The sequence below is a fragment of the Homo sapiens genome, chromosome 5, assembly GCF_000001405.40.
Source record: "Homo sapiens chromosome 5, GRCh38.p14 Primary Assembly".
In the NCBI taxonomy this organism is placed as follows: domain Eukaryota; kingdom Metazoa; phylum Chordata; class Mammalia; order Primates; family Hominidae; genus Homo; species Homo sapiens.
The window spans coordinates 147,336,987-147,356,448 of record NC_000005.10 but is presented as its reverse complement, the minus strand read 5'-3'; the positions used below and the strand labels follow the sequence as shown (position 1 = coordinate 147,356,448).

At 40.2% G+C, this 19,462-nt stretch overlaps 1 protein-coding gene across 9 annotated transcripts in view; it reads right to left on the bottom strand.

The window, feature by feature from the left end:
- Window positions 1-19,462, bottom strand: part of STK32A (serine/threonine kinase 32A) — a 166,965-nt gene that overhangs the window by 45,542 nt on the left and 101,961 nt on the right. For 7 of the 9 annotated variants that reach the window (XM_011537577.3, NM_001112724.2, NM_001287740.2 and 4 more), the window contains 2 exons: window positions 13,406-13,443; window positions 5,295-5,384 (listed from right to left, as the gene is read on the bottom strand). In XM_011537577.3, the coding sequence (XP_011535879.1) occupies window positions 5,295-5,384; window positions 13,406-13,443 (128 nt within the window). Of the gene's footprint in view, window positions 1-5,294; window positions 5,385-7,618; window positions 7,755-9,547; window positions 9,629-13,405; window positions 13,444-19,462 lie in introns of those variants that run through there. The other 2 variants (XM_017009214.1, NM_145001.4) reach the window with 2 other exon arrangements.

The following is a 19,462-nucleotide window of genomic DNA, read 5'->3' as shown; positions in this document are numbered from 1 at the left end:
TCTGAAGTGAGAACAATATATACTATAACAATAGTACTATATATACAATATACTACATTAATTATATGTTAATATATTATGCAATAATAAAACTGTAACGATAGTAGTGGCCTCACAGAACTGTTTTTAGTTTAAATGACAATGCATGCAGTTACAACAGTGCTTAACATTTAGGAAGAGCTTAGCAATGTCAGACATTCTACCTTCATCATTGTCACATCATCGTCCATGTCTCAGGCACGGCATGTTTCTAGACTTGGGTTTAATTTCATGCTCTGCCAATCACTGGCTGTGTGATTATGAACACATCACTTTCTCTCTCTCTGGGCCTGATTTTTTTTTAACTTGTAAAATCTAAACAATAGTAAAACCTATTTTATGGGGTTGAGAGTTTAATAATAAATGTTAAAAACTTAGCAAAGTGCTTGGAACAATAAATGTTCACTATATGATGCTATCATTATTGTTACATTATAAAATGAAAATTTAGGTTACATTTAGCATGATCGAATATTTAAAAAATGTAAACAGTATGTGTTTGTGCTTAGGAAAAAATGTCTGGAAATAAACCATAAATATCTATTGGCAAAGGGATTATTACTTTCCTTTTGCTTGCTAGTCCATAGTGAACTTATTTATATATATATATATATATACACACACACACTCACACACATACATATACATATATACACATACATACATATATAATTTGGAGGAGAATGTTTTATTTTTATTTTTATTTTTTATTTTATTCATTTTATTTTTTTTGAGACGGAATCTCGCTCTGTCGCCCAGCCTGGAGTGCAGTGGCGCGATCTCTGCTCACTGCGAGCTCCGCCTCCCGGGTTCGCGCCATTCTCCTGCCTCAGCCTCCCGAGTAGCTGGAACTACAGGCACCTGCCACCACGCCCGGCTAATTTTTTTGTGTATTTTTTTAGTAGAGACGGGGTTTCACCGTGTTAGCCAGGATGATCTCGATTTCCTGACCTTGTGATCTGCCCGCCTCGGCCTCCCAAAGTGCTGGGATTACAGGGTGAGCCACCGCGCCCGGCCGAGAAGGTTTTAATTGGTTAACTCTAAGTAATCTGGATTATATTCATACAGACAAAGGAGAAGAGAGAAGGAATAATGGAGGGACCAGAGGGAGCACAGAGGTAGAGGACAATAAATTGTAAAAAGCAAAACTTCCTTGCTTGATGGAAGGTGGTGAAGAACTGGCATACTGTCTTATTATTTACAGAGCTATGGAACTGATTTAAAATATGCTCAGCATCTTGTATTAGTAGATGAATATTTCTCCAATCTTCATTCAGTATTTTGGTTAGTTTTCTTTCTTTTTAGAATTCTTTTTGTTCTTTCTGGTGAATTGCTACTTAGTATCCTATGAAAGCACTATAAAATGGGTGCTGATAGATTTGGTAGATTTTACCAAACCATTGGGAGCATAATTTTTAAAAAGAGACAGCAGACTTCTACCCACAATACGTCTGGGAAAGACTCCTATCCAAAAGGAGGAGTGTGGCAATCACATAATCATTTTGGAATAAGGCAAGAAACATTTCGAATATGTTAGCCTAACTAAGTTGACTTAGAACCATTTAAAAACCACAGATAAAAATATTTACAAATATATATTTTTATTTCTCATTAATCTTCCTTTTAAGAAAAAGCTTGATTTCTGAAATCAGACAGAGCTTGATTTAAATCTAGACTTTTCAATTATTAGCCATGTGATCTCGGCCAAATTATTTAGCTTCTGATTTTTCTCATTATAAAGTAGTGATAAGTATAGTCCACCCCATGGGGCTGCTGAGAAAAATAAACAAATAAATGAATGTAAAACATTTAACACCTTGTCTGGTCCAGGGAAAGATTTCAAGAAATATTAGTCATTGTTAATTACAAGGGTAAAAGTGGAAGGTGCACAGAATTTTTCCTAGGTTCCAATTTCCCAGTTCTATCTTGTGAGAAGACTAGAAATGCCAACTTTGAAAAAATTACATTATACAGATATTGTACTTAAAACCACTGGGGAGAGGAAAGAAAGGTGGCCTCCCCGTACTTCTCTCACCATGGAAACCAACCCTGGAAACCCAGATGCACATTTTCTGATTTGGTTCCAAGAAAATAGCCCTTAATATGGAAACCCAGGAAACCTGGAGAATAAACTCATCAGAGCAGCAGGCTTGGATATGCTTTTTTATCATTTGAGTACCATAGGTTTTAGGCAGAAAATAGGCTGAATTATATATGTCCATTATTTTAGAAGTGACAAAAGAGATTTATTCCCCCCACTGGTAATTGAAAGCCATGAAATTTGCAGTTGTTCAAATATCATAGAAAATAAGGCTCATTTTTTTTTCTCATAGAAGATTTCTGTTGGAAAGTGAGGTGGCTCTGCATGTAGGGGGTTCTCTTTTCCTCTCTCTCTCTCTCTCTCTAGTTACATGGGGGAAGAGAATGAAATATTAAAAGAAAATGGCATTGCTCTTGTCCTTGATTTCAAGTTGAAATATTTTACCTTTGAATTACTCTGACCATATCTAGCTGAAACAATTCATTCCACCCGACTTAATCCCACCAGTTTAAACAGCAACATCACCACATCACCTGCTTTAAGCATCTTAACTAATTAGGGTAAAGCATGAGTAGGTTTTTTGTTGTTGTTGTTGTTTGTTTTTTCTTTTGAGATGGAGTCTCACTCTGTCGCCAGGCTGGAGTGCAGTGACACAGTCTCGGCTCACTGCAACCTCCGCCTCCCAGGTTCAAGTGATTTTCCTGCCTCAGCCTCCCGAGTAGCTATGACTACAGATGCACGCCACCATGCCCAGCTAATTTTTGTATTTTTAGTAGAGATGGGGTTTCACCATGTTGGCCAGGCTGGTCTCGATCTCTTGATCTTGTGATCCGCCTGCCTCGGTCTCCCAAAGTGCTGGGATTACAGGTGTGAGCCACCGCACCCCGCCAAGCATGAGTAGTTTTTAGTCTTCTGTCATTTGACAGCAACTGTGCAGTGTCTAACTTCCTGTTTTTGCTGGATAAGGAGCTCGCCTAATGATATCTCAGTCTGTTGCCTAATAAGTTTTAGTCCTATTTGCTTATTACATTTACTTTAGATGCTTTACAATTCAGTTCTGTGAATTTTAAAACTATTCTTATATCTGATTCAAAGCTCCTTCACTCACCCTGCTGGGCTGGTTTCAGCCACCCCGGTATGGAGGTGGAGGATTGATCTGGCTCTCACACACGTCCTTCTATCTTTTCCTAGAAAGCACTATTTGTTTTAGGACATGAAAGAAGGGTAGTCGAGGCAGAGGGGTCCTCACACATGTGCTACCCTGCAGAGTAATCTCTCTTTAGGGGTCTGTGGTGGAAGTTGTGACTCCTAGCTACACGGAGGAATTACGCTAAGAGCTTTAAATCACACTATGCCTAGACTCCACTCTCAGTGATTCTGATATGTTGAGCTCTATTGGGACTTGTGGTGTTTTCAGGAAGTCACACTGACAGGAGCCTCCCTCCCTTCCAGGCTATATTCTTGGTCATTGGAGGGTCCCATGTGAAGGTGGATCACAGCCTGTAGCTAATCCACCTCCCTTCTCCCCAAGACAAATCACATTCACTGCATACCTGTCTCCTGCTGCTATGATCCCCAGAAAGACTAGCCCCCAAACTCATCAAACTTCCATGGCCAACCAGGCTGTGTTAACTCCAGGACCAGTCACAAGTCCAGTAACTACACAGATATCTAATCAAGAATTAAATTCCAGGTATCTTTTCTTGCAGTCACTCTAAGAGTTTACAGATAATTCTCTTGAGATCTGACTCACTTGCCTTAGGAGCAACCACAGGGAAAAGGGAGGGAGAACTCCCTCTTTCTGAATACTGTGTGCCCCCTCGAGGACACTAGCTCTCTCCTTGCATTGTTGAGGCTGGACGGGAAGTAAAGCTGGTTCTGCTAACAACTAGTTCTGGTGTCTATATAGATGGCTGCTCCCAACAGGTGAACTTAGAGTTTTTGTAGTTGATTTGTTACCACAACTATACGTGAAACCAACTGACAATTTTGCATCTAACACTCTCTTTTTGGTCACCCCTTAGTAAATGCTGAATTGTCAAGGCAAAAACCAGTTCCTCACCTCGCTACACACAAAATAATGCAAAGACATTTAAACTTTCTGAGGCAGAATTTCCTCACCTTTATTTATTTTTAAAAATAATTTATTTGTTTTTAGAGACAGAGTCTCACTTTATCACTCAGGCTGGAGTACAGTGGCATGATCATAGCTCACTGCAGCCTCCAACTCCTGGACTCGAGCAATGCTCCTGCCTTGGCTTCCAAAGCAGCTGGGACCACAGATGCATGCCACCATCCAGCTCCAGAATTTCCTTATCTTTAAACAGAAGAATTCATGGGATTGTTGTGGCACTACAAGTAAATCTAAAATTATAGCTGGGAATGTATTTTGTAAAGTTTATAGCTCTATGTATGTAATGCAGTATTATGTAAATAATGGTTAAAATAATACTTTGCCACTTATTATCATTTTGCTTATTACTGTTTCCTACTTCTTTGTTTGTTTGTTTGTTTGTTTGTTTTGAGACGAAATCTCGCTTTGTCGCCAGGCTGGAGTGCAATGGCGCGATCTCGACTCACTGCAACCTCCGCCTCCCAGATTCAAGCGATTCTCCTGCCTCAGCCCCCCGAGTAGCTGGGACTACAGGCGCATGCTACCACACCCAGCTAATTTTTGTATTTTTAGTAGAGACAGGGTTTCACCATGTTGGCCAGGATGGTCTCAATCTTTTGACCTCATGATCTGCCTACTTCAGCCTCCCAAAGTGCTGGGATTACAGGCGTGAGCCACCATGCCCGGCCTTGTTTGGTTCTTTTTTTTTTATAAATCTGCTCCCACTAGAATGTAAGCTCCAGGATCTGAAGACCTTGTCTGTGTTGCTTTCTACAGGGTCACCGGCATCTGAAACAGTGCTAAGCACACAGAGACAGTTAGTAGGTATTTATTGAATTAGTTAATATTTTTGTTAGGAAGTGGGTACAAACGGTCTTCCTTGACACACGAAGTAAGTTTTCAAAATGTAATCAATGGTCCTTTCCTATCAAAGTCATCTTGGGTGCTTGCTAGTGGAGAAGACCCATGAAATCAGAAGCTCCACAGGTAAAGTCAGAGAGGAACTTACCAGTTCTAGCTGCAAATCCCCACAGATGATTCCACCTGTAATAAATGGTATTTACAGGAAAGAAAAAAAAAAGACACTCATGAAACCCATACCCATGTAAGGCTTGGTGCCAGCCATGGTGGTAATCTGTGTCTCCCTGGGCAGCATCGCAGCAATGTTGAAATCTGTGATGTGCACGTGCCCTGCAGAGAGAGAAGAACCACACAGAAAGTTAAGTCCCATTCAACCCAGTGGCACAATCATGCTTTTAACTGAAAACACCCAATTAGTCTGTTAATTCTTGTAGGCCAGTTGCAGTCCATCCTCAAGGCCGATATGGTCTTAAACCAACAATTCTCCATTTCATGATATGCAATGATTAGTCTCTGATTGTAAGCCTGTAGTTCAGCCTCAGAAAGTTTTACCCTTAGTAGTTAAGAATTTGTGGTCAGGTAATTCTAGTTAGGCATCTTTTGTCTGTTGGTGACATTTTAAGTTACTTTAGCCTATGAATACTATGAAGGAGACAGCCAAGAGATACTCAAAGTATCACGTTTCCAAACATCCCTTATGGGATTATTTTTTTTAAAGAGGCAAATAGGCTGGGCGTGGTGGCTCACCCCTGTAATCCTAGCACTTTGGAAGGCTGAGGTGGGCAGATCACTTGAGGTCAGGAGTTCGAGACCAGCCTGGCCAAAATGGTGAAACCCTGTCTCTACTAAAAATAAAAAATAAAAAATTAGCTGGGCGTGGTGATGGGTGCCTGTAATCCCAGCTACTTGGGAGGCTGAGGCAGGAGAATCACATGAACCTGGGAGGCAGAGGTTGCAGTGAGCTGAGATCACACCACTGCACTCCAGCCTGGGTGACAGAGTGAGACTATCTCAAAAAAAAAAGAAAAGAAAAGTAAGAGGCAAATATTATTACTACAAAACTGGCATGAATATGGATACAAATATTTATTTCCTAGCCAAGAAAGCATCCCTTTTCTTCAAGTTTTTCTAAAATATTTTTGTACATATTTTTTGTCTGATAATTCAGGTTGGCCTCATCAGTTCCCAGCAAAATAACTGTTATCAAGGGATAGCGGGGGGCGGTGGGTGGGGGGCGGGGTTTAACTTTAGGTTTTTTTTAAATTTAATTTAATTTTTTTTTTTTGAAGTGGAGTCTCACTCTGTTGCCAGGCTGGAGTGTTATGGTGTGCTCTCGGCTCACTGCAATCTCCGCCTCCCGGGTTCAAGTGATTCTCCTGCCTCAGCCTCCCGAGTTGCTGGGATTACAGGCATGCACAACCATGCTCAGCTAATTTTTGTATTTTTAGTAGAGATGGGATTTCACCATGTTGGTCAGGGTGTTCTACGATCTCTTGACCTCGTGATCTGCTTGCCTCGGCCTCTGAAAGTGTTGGGATTACAGGCGTGAGCCACTGCGCCCGGCCAGTCAACTTCATTTTTAAAGGGATTCTATAAAGAGCACTAGACTGGGAGCCAGGAGGCCTGGGTTCTGCCTTGAACTCAGCCTCTAACACATAGTAGACTCTAAGTCCTTTTCCAAGGTGGATCTAAATTTTCCTTCACATAAAAAAAGAAGGAGTAGACTAAATGATCTCTAGGGTCTCTTTCAGCTTTAACACTCAAAGCAATATAGTGTGGGTCTAATACTTATACGTGGCAGGGAACACACTCTATGAGGTGCTCTAGGGTCCCTGCATTTACAGCTAAAGGGAACAAAAGGGCCGTGCCAAAAGCTCAGGCAAACAAGCCTATTATGTTAGCTGTTGGCATGACAGTCAACTGCTTTCAGAGAATCTTGAAGTGTTGGCATTTCCATTTACATGTGTCTGTGGTTTTGATGAGATACAGCTGTAATTGGAGGGCATGTCATCAGATTCTTCCAGGGCCCACAGTCCACAAGCCCTGTATCAAACTTCTTTGTCTGCTCCCTGATAGTATCCAGCCTGCTGCTAAGCATAAATCCCACTGCCTTTATCACCAGGATTTTATTTTGTGCAGAAAGTGTTTTGGCTTTGTTTATGTCATGATATTTCAGTAAAGTAAAGGTAGCACTCATCTAAAAAAAAGGTAGCCACTCATTCTTGCTGGAGTGGCACCAATGCCTGATTTCAATAACTTTATCATAGCGTAGGTTGTCTCTGTTTTTTCTTTTTCTCTTTCTCCCCATGGGTCCTGCTCATAGTGTTGGATCAGTGATTCACAAAGTTTAATACAAATCAGGTGAGTCTGGAGACTGTGGTGAAGAGCCTGTTTCTTGGAGTCAGACTGCTTGGCTTCAAGTCTAGGTTCTACCACTAACTAGCTGTGTTACCTTGAAAACGTCACTTATCCTCTCTGTAAAGTTGGAAAGATAATCATAGTCTTCTCAAGAGGTTATTAGAAATATTAAATGAAAGAATGATTACAGGAGACTTAGCACAGCATTTGGCAAGAAGTAAGCGTTTAATTGTTGATATCCGTCATTATCAGAAACTTCAGTGTAGTTTTGCAAAATACATGTGCCTGGGCTTCGGTCTCCTGAAACTCCAATTCAGTGGGACTTGTAGGAGAGCCAGGTATCTGTATTAAAAACAACAAATTCCACAGGTGATTCAGATGAGCAGCCAGACATGCAACTGTCTACTTTAGTCTGCATAGATTTCCAAGCTGACTCAGCTACAAGATTATGTATGCTCATGTAGAAGTGGAAGGTAGAGAAGGTTTTAGAGCCAATTGATTCCTACAATGTAGTGCCCAGATCAGCAGCATCAGCATCACCTGGGAACTTGTTAGATATGCAGATTCTTACGCCCCGTCCCCCCTCAACTCTATTATAACAAATCAGAAACTCTGTGGGTTGGGCGCCAATATTTAAATAAGCCTTCCAGGTGATTATGAGACCTAATAAAGTTTGAGATTACATTTTTAAAAGAGGGCCTGGCTTAGCAGAACATCTCAACTCTGGTGAGTACTCATTACACGTCAGTTGAAAGAATGTTGAGTATTTTCCTTTTAAATGCTGTTTACACTTGCATGATTCAGTTTTCAAAATGTTGTTGCACAAAATTTCTCCTTTAGCCTAGTGAGGTAGGCCCTATTTTATATATGAGTCATTTATGGCTAGGTTCAAAAGACTCAAAAGTTACAGAGCTGGAGTTAAGACCTAGAATTTTGTCTAGAATCCCTTTGTCAGACTATGAATCTACCAAAAACTTTGTGTGCTGTATCACAAGATCAAAGAACTGAATAACCTAAAACAGTTAATTTCTGATTGGCTCAGAGTTCTAGTCCACTTCCAGGATGCCTATTTAAGGAGAGGGAGAAATTATTTGAGGGTCAGGTTCTACTGGATCTTGTAACCTGGTGCTTCTGAGCTAAACAATGAAGGCAGAACTTCACAGAGTGCTGGCCCTAAGCCTTAGTCCCAGGTCCGGCTACAGCCATGACTTGCTTCTCCTTACCATGGTGACCTATCTGCCAGGTTCCCTTCTGTGTTTTGAAAATGAAATTTGACTGCTGGATCACAGGAAAGGGTTCAGTCTCCTGCTGACTGAAGGACACAGGAATTGCCTTGGGAATGAAGGACTTCTCTGGCTTTTTTCATTAGCCCAGGCCTTGAGTGAGCCTTAGAGCAGAGTTTCTCAACCTCAGCACCATTGAAATATTGGACCTGATAATTTTTTGTAGTGCGAACTGTCCTGTGCATTGCAGGATGCATGCTAGCATCCCGGCCTCTACCCACTAGCTGCTGATATCACCTCCCAACCCTGGCTGGAATCCTGATAATCAAAAATGTCTCCAGAAATTACCAAATGTCCTCTGCAGGGAGAAGGAGTAGAGCAAAATTACGCCCAGTTGAGAATCACTACTTTAGTGAAAAGTTTTTCAGGTGCAAGCCTCAGAACTTCCTAATTTACCACTCTAGGAGAGGGTTTCTGCCTTTTTTTTTTTGCCTCTATTGCTTGGGATAGAGGATCATATAAAAAATCTGAATTCATTTTATGATGCCATTGAATTCAGCCATCATTGTTGTCATCATTTACACTCTTTCTTGCTGCTCCTGTGCACAGCCTGAGGATCTCTTTCATCAACGCAGTGCTCTAGGGCACCATAACCAATCAGTTGGCACTGCTCCCAACTTTTAAGTCTCTGCTACTCGCAGGTGTTTAGAATATGTGCCCCACATTTTTCTGAGATCCTTGCTGAAAATGTATATCCTTAGGCACTACCTAGGGAGTAATTAAATGGGGATAAGTTACTGTATTCTACACTGTATGTTGTTTTAAAAGGACACTGTCCACTTCATCTTTTGGTACATTTTGAGACTCTGCAATGAAAAGGCTGTTAAGATGGCAGCCTCAGTTTTTTCTCACCTCCTACGCTGAGTTTTTGCCTCTATTCCTTGTAACAGGATGGTATTAAGAAACCTAAGTGACAGATGATGACATAATTGTCATTTTCTCTGATATGTCAGGCAGACATTACTGTTCCTCTGGTTGTAGCATTTCCTGAATAAGAAAAATACAAGAATTTTAGACACTATGGTATTGATAGAATTGGATGGGGTACTTACATTGGTAGGAAATGAAAATATACATTAGGATAGTGGGTCAGGAGTCACCCAAGACCTAATGTCATCTTGCTCTGAACTAGTAAATGGGACATTTGGGGAGAACAGTACAGATGTGCTCTAAGTTAAAAACATTTTTAAGGCAAATTCTGATGTACAAGAAATATTCACACAGTGGATTTCCCATTGTACAATTGGCTCCTTTAAATGTCAATCTTTTCAGATGAATATAAAGAATATGAGTCAGTAAGAATAAAAGTTTCTGCCTGTTACTGAATCGTGTTGCATAAAAATGTAAGCAGCATGGTGTGATACACAGCTCACTTGTAGGGATGCGCATAGGGGGCACCAGAGAGATAGGTGGTTACCCTTCACAGTGGCTACAATTTCCACATGAGGCCCAAGCGACAGCCCATCAGGGATGAAATATTATAAATGGAGATGGAGAAGGCAAATGAGGTCTTCAAATATGAGCTCCACATGGAAAGTCACACCAGCAGACACTCTAAAAGGCAGGCATTGATTTGTGATTCAGCTGATTCTCACAAGATCAGCTCTACATAACGAGCTGGGGAGAGGTGAACAACAGGAATTTGTTCATGGAAAAGTGGTTAATTATGTTCCTTGAGTAATGTCTGAGAGTCCTACTTTTTCAGAATCTGAACAAACGAAGTAAATAACTTCAAAAAAATTATTATCTCCAGAAAGAGATCCCTAAGGCAATGTTTAGAAAATGGCTCTCAGTCTTTTTTGTTTGCTCACTTCTGTACCATTCATATACAATCCTTCCCAAAGCAATTGATTTTCAAGTTGAGTTCAGGGTAGGAATATAATACAGAAAAGCCTCTTCTTAATTCACTGACCAAATTTTAAAAAGCCTTGAGAATGAAAGCAGTCATTGTAAATAAGACACCAGGTAATAGGGGCAGACTGAGACTCTCTCTCTGGCACACTGGAATGATGGCTTGTATTCTGTAGGCAACAGAGCCCCAGCTCCACCAAGAATAAAATGTCATGACTGCACCCTTGCCCCCTGCACACATGAAAGACAGCAGAATGTACACGGAAAGTGTAGTTACCTGAGGATGAAGGGATAAACAAAATGGTTTAAACACAAGATCTAAGAAGTAGACAAGCAGAATATTTGGTATATCACTTCTTAAATCAAAATAATTATTTGGGAAGGACAACTTTTACAGATTCTATCTGGTAGAGATTTGGTACGTATTAGGTATGTGTTAGCATAGACAAAGAAACATAAAACAAGATGAAGCAGTCCCAGCTTCCTTTCCAAGGAAAGAAAGCCATGACTGCCTCAGAAGAATTGTACTAATATTAGACTTTTATTGAGTGATTTCTTTGTGACAGTCATTGCATCAAGTACTTCACACGTATCAGGTCAGTCTTTACAATGACCCTAATTAAGTATTCTTTTGATCCCTGTAAGATTTCTTTTGTAAGTAAGATTTTTTTTCTAAGTAAGTATTCTTTTGATCCCTGGAAAAACTAAGACAAAGTTTAGGCAACTTGTCAAAGCTCTCGGGGCTAGGAAATGAGTGAAGTGTGTTTTGAATGAAGGCAATCTGGCTCCAGAAGTCACATTCTTAACCACACTGTTACACAATTAATCTTTCACAAGGGTAGTCTCTAAAGGTGGTTAAACTTGAAGATTAATTGATTTCTTCATGTTTTTCCTCATCTGCAATGACCAAGTCACCAAGAAAATGAGGAGGAGGAAGAAGTTGACTGAAGGAGAATAGGATGCCTTAATGATAGAAGTAGGGTGAAGCCATGGATGAGACCTGGGATGAAAACACTGTTCTCTGAAGGGAGGATAAAGCTGGGAAAGTGTTGGATTGATAGGACCTATATGCCTTCATTTAAGGCCTCTATAAATGGTGGAACAGCAGAAATCATGCACAAAGGCACCCAGCTGAGGGAGCAAGTGAGGACTCAATCCTAACTTGGGTTCTCCTTGGTGGGCCATGTGCTGTCAGGAAGCTGTGGTGGGCAGGGGGAGCACTTCTCCCTAAGTTGCACAAAGGTGGCCTCTATAGGCTAGAAGAGAAGCCAGTGGTAATTGTTTTTCCCCCAACAAGAAACAGGGTCTCTCTGTGCTGCCCAGGCTGGATTCAAACTCCTGGGCTCAAGCGATCCTCCTGCCTCAGCCTCCCAAGTAGCTGATACTACAGGTGCCTGCCACTGTACCTAGCTCTGGATAGCTGGTATTTTAAAGAAAGTCACCTTCATGCTAAATCTCACCATTGCTCACATTTCTGAGAATCAGAGACCCTGTTTTCAAATGTCAGAAGCAGTAAAGGTAAGGAAGAAATAAGGCATTGGAAGAAAGTGGAAAAAATCTTTTTGGACAGTCCATAAATAAGTAATGACAGTGAGCTTTGAAATTAGAGGTCATTACCAGTGTTTCTTAGCCCCCTGAGCACAGGTGGGATCAGGAAAATCAGGCTCAAAAATAGGTAAATAAATAATGAGCAATAGATGGTACTTGGAGTTTCAGTTCCACTTGCAAATCCTTTTTGTAAAAATTGAATAAGGAGCCTTTAAGATCTAGGACTCTCCTCATCTAGCAGCCTTCTAAAGACATAACAAAGATCTTATTGACACTGTTAACATTTATAACATACAGTTTTTGTGCCCTGCAGATCTTCCCTGATATTCTAATAAATCCCAATATACACAAAAATAAATATTAGGAAGAAATCGTACACATTTAATCATCACGGGCAAAAGCTTATTCTAGAGGGTGTAATCAGTAGTTCTTGAAATTCAGCATTCACTTATCACCATCTTGATTATTGCCATATCCCTATATCACAAATCTAGATAACACATATACTTTTATCTTTTTTATGTTTTTCTTTAACTGATTTTTCTCAAACTGAAATTTTTAAACAGAAAACTTGATATCTTTTCTGAGATACATTGGTACATACTAGTTATGTGCCAGCATAGACAAAGCCGCATAAAACAAGATGAAGCAGTTCCAGCTTCCTTTCCAAGGGGAGAAACCCATGACCACCTCATAAAAATTGTACCAATATTAGACTTCTATTGAGTGATTTCTTCGTGACAGTCACTGCATCAAGTAGTTTACATGTATTAGGTCAGTCTTTACAATGACCCTAAAATGTAAGAATTCTTCTGTGATATTAAGTAAATGTAAAAACCAATTTGCAAATGTAAAACCAATTTGCCTTTTATAAGAAGGAATGCAAAAAAGTAGATGCAATGAGAACAAAATAATGTCATTAATGTCTAGGTAGATGCTATTGCTGGCCAAATGCTCTCAGCTTGAGGCCTTCTGTATCATTATAAAAAATAGGTGATTGCGTGTTATATTAAGGCCAGCTAACACTGAAAAGTTGTGATGGTTTTCTTGAAGAAATATAGTAGTGGAAGAAAATTGAGTAGACTATGATTTTCTCATTAGGTAAATTCAATGTGATTTAAGGGTGTATTGTTGTACTATAACCTGCCATAAGTAATAAAGTTCCCCCATATTGTCTATGAGGAGTTTGTAAGTAGAGCTCGAATGAATAGAACAAAATACCTTTTTCATGTGTAATACCCCTCTGCTGGGAACAATCAACTTTTCTACATGCATGTCATGTACTTGATTGCAAACAAATCACTCACTTACCATGTTCGTCAAGTAAAATATTGTCAGGCTTCATATCCCTAGAGGAGTAAAAAGAAAAAAGAAAGTTGCTCACAATAAAACGAACAGAACTAAGGGGTAGGGGCAAAAAGGCTTAAGAAAGCTAACTGGAGTTGAAACAGTGTACTAGCTTCTCAATACTCATCTTCTCATTCAATTCTCACAGTAAATTTATGAGACAGAAAATCCCCAATTTTTAAATCAGAAAACTGAAGCTTAACCCAAGGTCACAGGCTAGTAAATGGAAGAAATGGGCTCTGAACCAAGGCCTCTCTCATTCAAAAACTCAGACTCTAAACTTCCTATAGCATGTTGTATCTAAGCATGTAGATATTGGTCCATTGGATCATATAAAGCATTTACATTGCCATAAAGTAATGTTAGTAGTATTAAGCATCATTTTCTTGTGTAACTCTAGAATTGCACAGATGATGTGAGCTTAAAGACTATAAATGGGAAAAATATGGTTGATAATGTAGTTATATAACCACCCCCTGTCTCCTTTTGCCTCCTCACATCCACACCTGCTGTTGCTTTGCCTAAATTAGAGTCCTCTCACCAGTGCACTCAGACAACACAGATTCACCCTTAACCCCACAGCTCAGATGCCATTTCCTGCAGGAAGCCTTCCTGATTTTTCATTTCTGGGTCAAATCCCCCCTAATCCCATATATTCTGACCACATGGGATACTTCTTCCACCATAACATTTATCACAGTTTATCACACACTTGGTTCTGTTTATGGATATGGGACTTGTTACTCATTAATATTTTTAAGTAAAGAGTAAGCTGACAGACTTGGTCTGTCAAAGATTAAGGTATTTTTATTCTAGCAGCATGAAAGCTATTTGACTAGGCTGAGAATGTGTTCCCAAAACCTGTTTCAGAATTTCTTCTCTAATGGAGTCTATGAATTTAGGCTGAAGGGCTTTAATGGTACATTAGGGAAAGGCAGTAAAAATCTGAGAGTGGAAAAGTGAGGGCTGTTATAAAGTACAATGCGATTTTTTGATTCAGGAGTGTTCCTTACTATAATATTCACCAAGGCTTTGCAAACTCTATCATTCTATCCTCCAAGTATTAACCACCAGACTACTCCCTTCATTGGAAGAAGGTGGGTTTTGTGCTCTCCTGTGAATTTTTTTTACTTTGCTATTTTAATTTTTTTAGTCATTTTAAACCAAAAATTGTGTGTTTGAAGTGGCCAACATGATACTTTGATATAGCAAATTTCTGGTATATAATACAATGTTACTAACTATAGTTATCTTGCTGTACATCAGTGTGTAAAAGACTGGTCCAAATCTTTTCACTAACTACCCCAGGATTAATAATTAAATAACTATAGGCCTTATAACATCCTAAAAAAAAAAATTCTTGCCAGGCACAGTGGTGTGTACTTATAGTCCCAGCCACTCAGGAGGTGGAAGAGGGATATCACCTGAGCCCAGGAGTTTGAGGCTGCATTGCACAACTGTGCCCTGACTAGCCATTGCACTCCAGCCTGGGCAACAAAGCAAAATGCCTACTCAAAAAATTTTTCTAATTTCTGCAAGTTTTCCAAGTGGATCATGATGTCAGGGATGGTTTCTTGATTAATATCATATTCTATCCCAGTGCCTCATGGTCAGTAAATGAAGAACTTAATGACACCCAGAGAAATTCCAGTGCACTCAAGAAGGCTGATCCTAACAGTATATACAGAGCACTGTGCACACCATCAAATACTCTCTGCACCATAAAGCTAGAGATAAACCAGGTGTCGGGCTCTTTCCACCTCTTTCAGATCTGCATCCAATGAGTATCAGGTACTGTTTGCCAGGTGAAAAAGAGGCCCAGAGGAGCCCTACCAAAGATGGATGAGAGTTGAGAGAGGCAAGATCAGTATCAAATTTCTTGGCCTGAATTTATGAGGACTTACTGGGAGAAATTAATTGCTGTGGATTTGACATTTTATGAGCTTTCTGTTAAATCCCTGAGCACCATTTTTCTTATTTATTGAATCCATACATCATTGTGTTAACTACTTTTCCCAGAAACTACTTTGAAACTTAATATTACAGAGATCAGAGAGGGAACAATTAGTTTAATGTGATTACTTCTTAATTAAATCTTGTATTCATTTATTCATCAGATATTTACCTACTCTGGTAAGTCACTGTAGTAAGATACAGAAAACCTAAAGATAAATGAGACATAGTTCCCTCGGGATGGAGAGGATGAGAAAGCTTCGTAAAGAACCATGACATAGAATGGGAAAGGGGTATTTTTACCACAAATTCAGAGAAAGAATATGAGAAAAATTTAAGAAAAATGTATAAGAGAAAGTGGATTTGTAAACATAAAAATAAGTTATCTAAGCTTAGATTCTAACTATATAGTTTCTCCAAAATATAATAGGGTAACATCTAATTCACTACAGGGTAAATTGCAGTATGGAAGGTTGTTTATTCACATACCAGGAGAGAGAAAATGAAAAGAAACTTAGTGTGCTCTATTAAAATTCCTACTAGAGCAAGTTGAGATTTTCTAGTTCTAAATTTTAGCATCACTTCTTTACCTTTTCAGTCTTCTCAAGTAAAAATAAATATGAAATAACTTACAAAATGTTTCTTTCATTGACAGTAGTCTATAATATATTTTTACTTAGTGGCTAATAAACCTGGATATGCTTCAGAATCAACTGGGGAGAATTGAACACTGTGGATTCTCTTATCAGGGGCATTCAGACCAGAGTGACTCCATCTTGAATAGGTGAGATAGGAATTTAGTAATCAGCAGGACTGTTTTTGCAAGGTACAGGTCACAAAGACCCCACTGATAGAAATAAGATGCAGTGAAGAAGCTGGCCAAAACCAAGATGGTGACAAAAGTGATCTCTGGTCATCCTCACTGCTCATTATACACTAATTATAATACATGAGCATGCTAAAAGACACTCTCACTAGCACCATGACAGTTTACAAATGCCTTGGCAACGTCTGGAAGCTACCTATATGGTCTACAATGGGGAGGAACCCTCAGTTCTGGGAATTCCCCAAAGTCTTAACTCATTTCAGCAATAACTCAAAAGTCCACAGTCCAATGTCTCATCTAAGACAAGGCAAGTCCCTTCTGCCTATGAGCCTGTAAAATCAAAAGTAAGTTAGTTACTTCTTAGATACAATGGGGTTACAGGCAGTGGGTAAATACACTCATTCCAAATAAGAGGAATTGGCCAAAACAAAGTGGCTACAGGCCTCATGCAAGTCTGAAATCCAGCAGGGCAGTATAATCTTAAAGCTCCAAAATAATCTTTGACTCCATGTCTCACATCCAGGTCACGCTGATGTAACATGTGGGCTCCCACAACCTTGGGCAGCTCCACCTCTGTGGCTTTCCAGGGTGCAGCCCCCTTCCTGGCTGCGTTCATTGGCTGGCATTGTATGTCTGCAGCTTTTCCAGGCACATGGTGCAAACTGTTGGTGGAGCTACCATTCTGGTGTCTGGAAGATGGTGACCTTCTTCTCACAGCTCCACTAGGTGGTGCCCTAGTGGGAACTCTGTGTGTGGGTTCCCACCCCATATTTCCCTTCCACGCTGCCCTAGCAGAGGTTCTCCATAAGGGCTCTGCCCATGTAGCACAACTCTGTCGGGACATCTAGGCATTTCCATACATCCTCTGAAATCCAGGCAGAGGTTCCCAAACCTCAATTCTTGACTTCTGTGCATCCACAGGCCCAACACCATGCGTAAGCCACCAAGGCTTGCTGCTTACACCCTCTGAAGCAATGGTCTGAACTGTATGTTGGCCCCTTTAGAAACAGCTGGGATGCAGGGCAGCAAGTCCTGAGACTACGAAAGCAGCAAGGCCCTGGGCCCAGCCCATGAAACCATTTTTCCTCCCAGGAATCAGGGCTTGTGATAGGAGGGGCTACCTCTGACATGCCCTGGAGACATTTTCCCCATCGTCTTGGCCATTAACATTTTGCTCCTCATTACTGATGCAAATTTCCGCAGCCAGTTTGAATTTCTCCTCAGAAAATAGGTTTTTCTTTTCTATTCCATCATCAGGCTATAAATTTTCTGAACTTTTATTCCCTGCTTTTCTTTAAAACATGAGTTCTAATTCCAAACCATATCTTTGTGAATGAATAAAACTTAATGTTTTTAAGAGCACCCACGTCACCTCTTGAATGCTTTGCTGTTTAGAAATTTCTTCCACCAGATACCCTAAATTATCTCTCTCAAGTTCAAAGTTACACAGATCTCTATGGCAGGGGAAAAATGTCACCAGTCTCTTTGCTAAAGCACAGCAGGAATCACTTTTGCTCTAGTTCCTGGTAAGTTCCTTATCTCCACATGAGGCCACCTCAGCCTGGACTTTTTCATTCATATCACTATCAGCATTTTGGTCAAAGCCATTCAACAAGTCTCTAGGAAGTTCCACACTTTCCCACATTTTCCTATCTTCTTCTGAGCCCTCCAAACTGTTCCAACCCCTGCCTGTTACCCAGTTCCAAAGTTGCTTCCACATTTTTGGGTATCTTTACAGCAGTGCCCCACTCCTCATACCAATTGGCTTTATTAGTCTATTCTCACACTGCTAATAAAGACATACCCAAGACTGGGTAATTTATAAAGAAAAAGAGGTTTAACAGACTCACAGTTCCACATGGCTGGGGAGCCCTCACAATCATGGCAGAAGGTGATGGAGAAGCAAAGGCACCTCTTACGTGGAGGCAGGCAAGAGACCATGTGCAGGGGAATTGCCCTTTATAAAACCATCATATCTCATGAGACTCACCCACTATCACAAGAACAGCATTGGAAAAACCCACCCCCATGACTCAATTAACTCCTACTGCATTCTTCCTATGACAAATGGAGATTATGGGAACTACAATTCAAGATGAGATTTGGATGGGGACACAGCAAAAACACATCCATATCATAAGCAGATAGCTAATGATGAATTCCCTCTTACTTGTTATTTATTATTCTTGGTGACTTCAGTGTCTACATGAATGCTCCATCTAACACCCTGGCCTCTCAGTTCCTTGACTTGCCTCCAATAATCTTTTCATCCGTCCCACACCAATAGTTTCCTTATTCTCACTTCCTTAATCATCTCCTTTTCATAACTACAGCCTAGCCCCTGACTAGCATTTATTCAATACAATTTCCAAACTGGCATATCTATCACACTAAGACCACCAATTATTGACCTTGTCACTTTTTCTTTATACATCAAAACTCATATCCTCAATTCCTGCCCATAGTTCGCTTTTAACATTCTTTGTAAGAATGCTTCATTCTCTCAACCCCCAACCCCCAACCCCCACTAGGACGTAAGTTCTAAGTGAAAGGACTTCTTTTCTGTATTGTTCAATGCAGCAGCCCCTGGACTCATAAAAGTACCCAAGAATAAAGTAGGTGCTCGAGTAACTATTTGTCATAAAAATGAATGAATCCCAGCCCCCTGGTTTCTCAAATTGTTGGAATACTAAGCCCTGCATGTCTTTTTCCCCTAAGAAGAGAAGAGAAAACAAAACAAAGCAAAACAACCAATCCCCACCCCCAAAACAACCCAAACAAACCCTGTGTGCCAGATGCGCCACATTTACCATTGGCCAACTAAGAAACTTGACTTTCCAGTAAGTGTATGTGTATGTATTAGAGTAAGAGTAATAAATAAGAAGTGATTTATGCCTGTTACGAGCCTATGATTTCAGAGGGACTATGGAATTTTGGGGGTGATAAAGGGAAATTCTAGGATGCATACTTTGGAAATTCTTCATTGCATCTTGGTTTGATTAAATAAAAAAGAGCCATGTCCTGCTGAACCAGCTGATTCCAGCTGTGAGAACTATAAATAGCAGAGTGGAAATACAATGCTCCTTGTGGCAGGATCCAAGGAAGAATTGATGTATCTACTCTTCTCACTTGAATGACTTTACAAGACATTAGCAGGGTTAACAGGCTAATTACATCCCTTCATTGCGCCTCCCCTGGAGTCAAGTTGCTCACCCTGCAATCCTATACCGGTACATGTACAT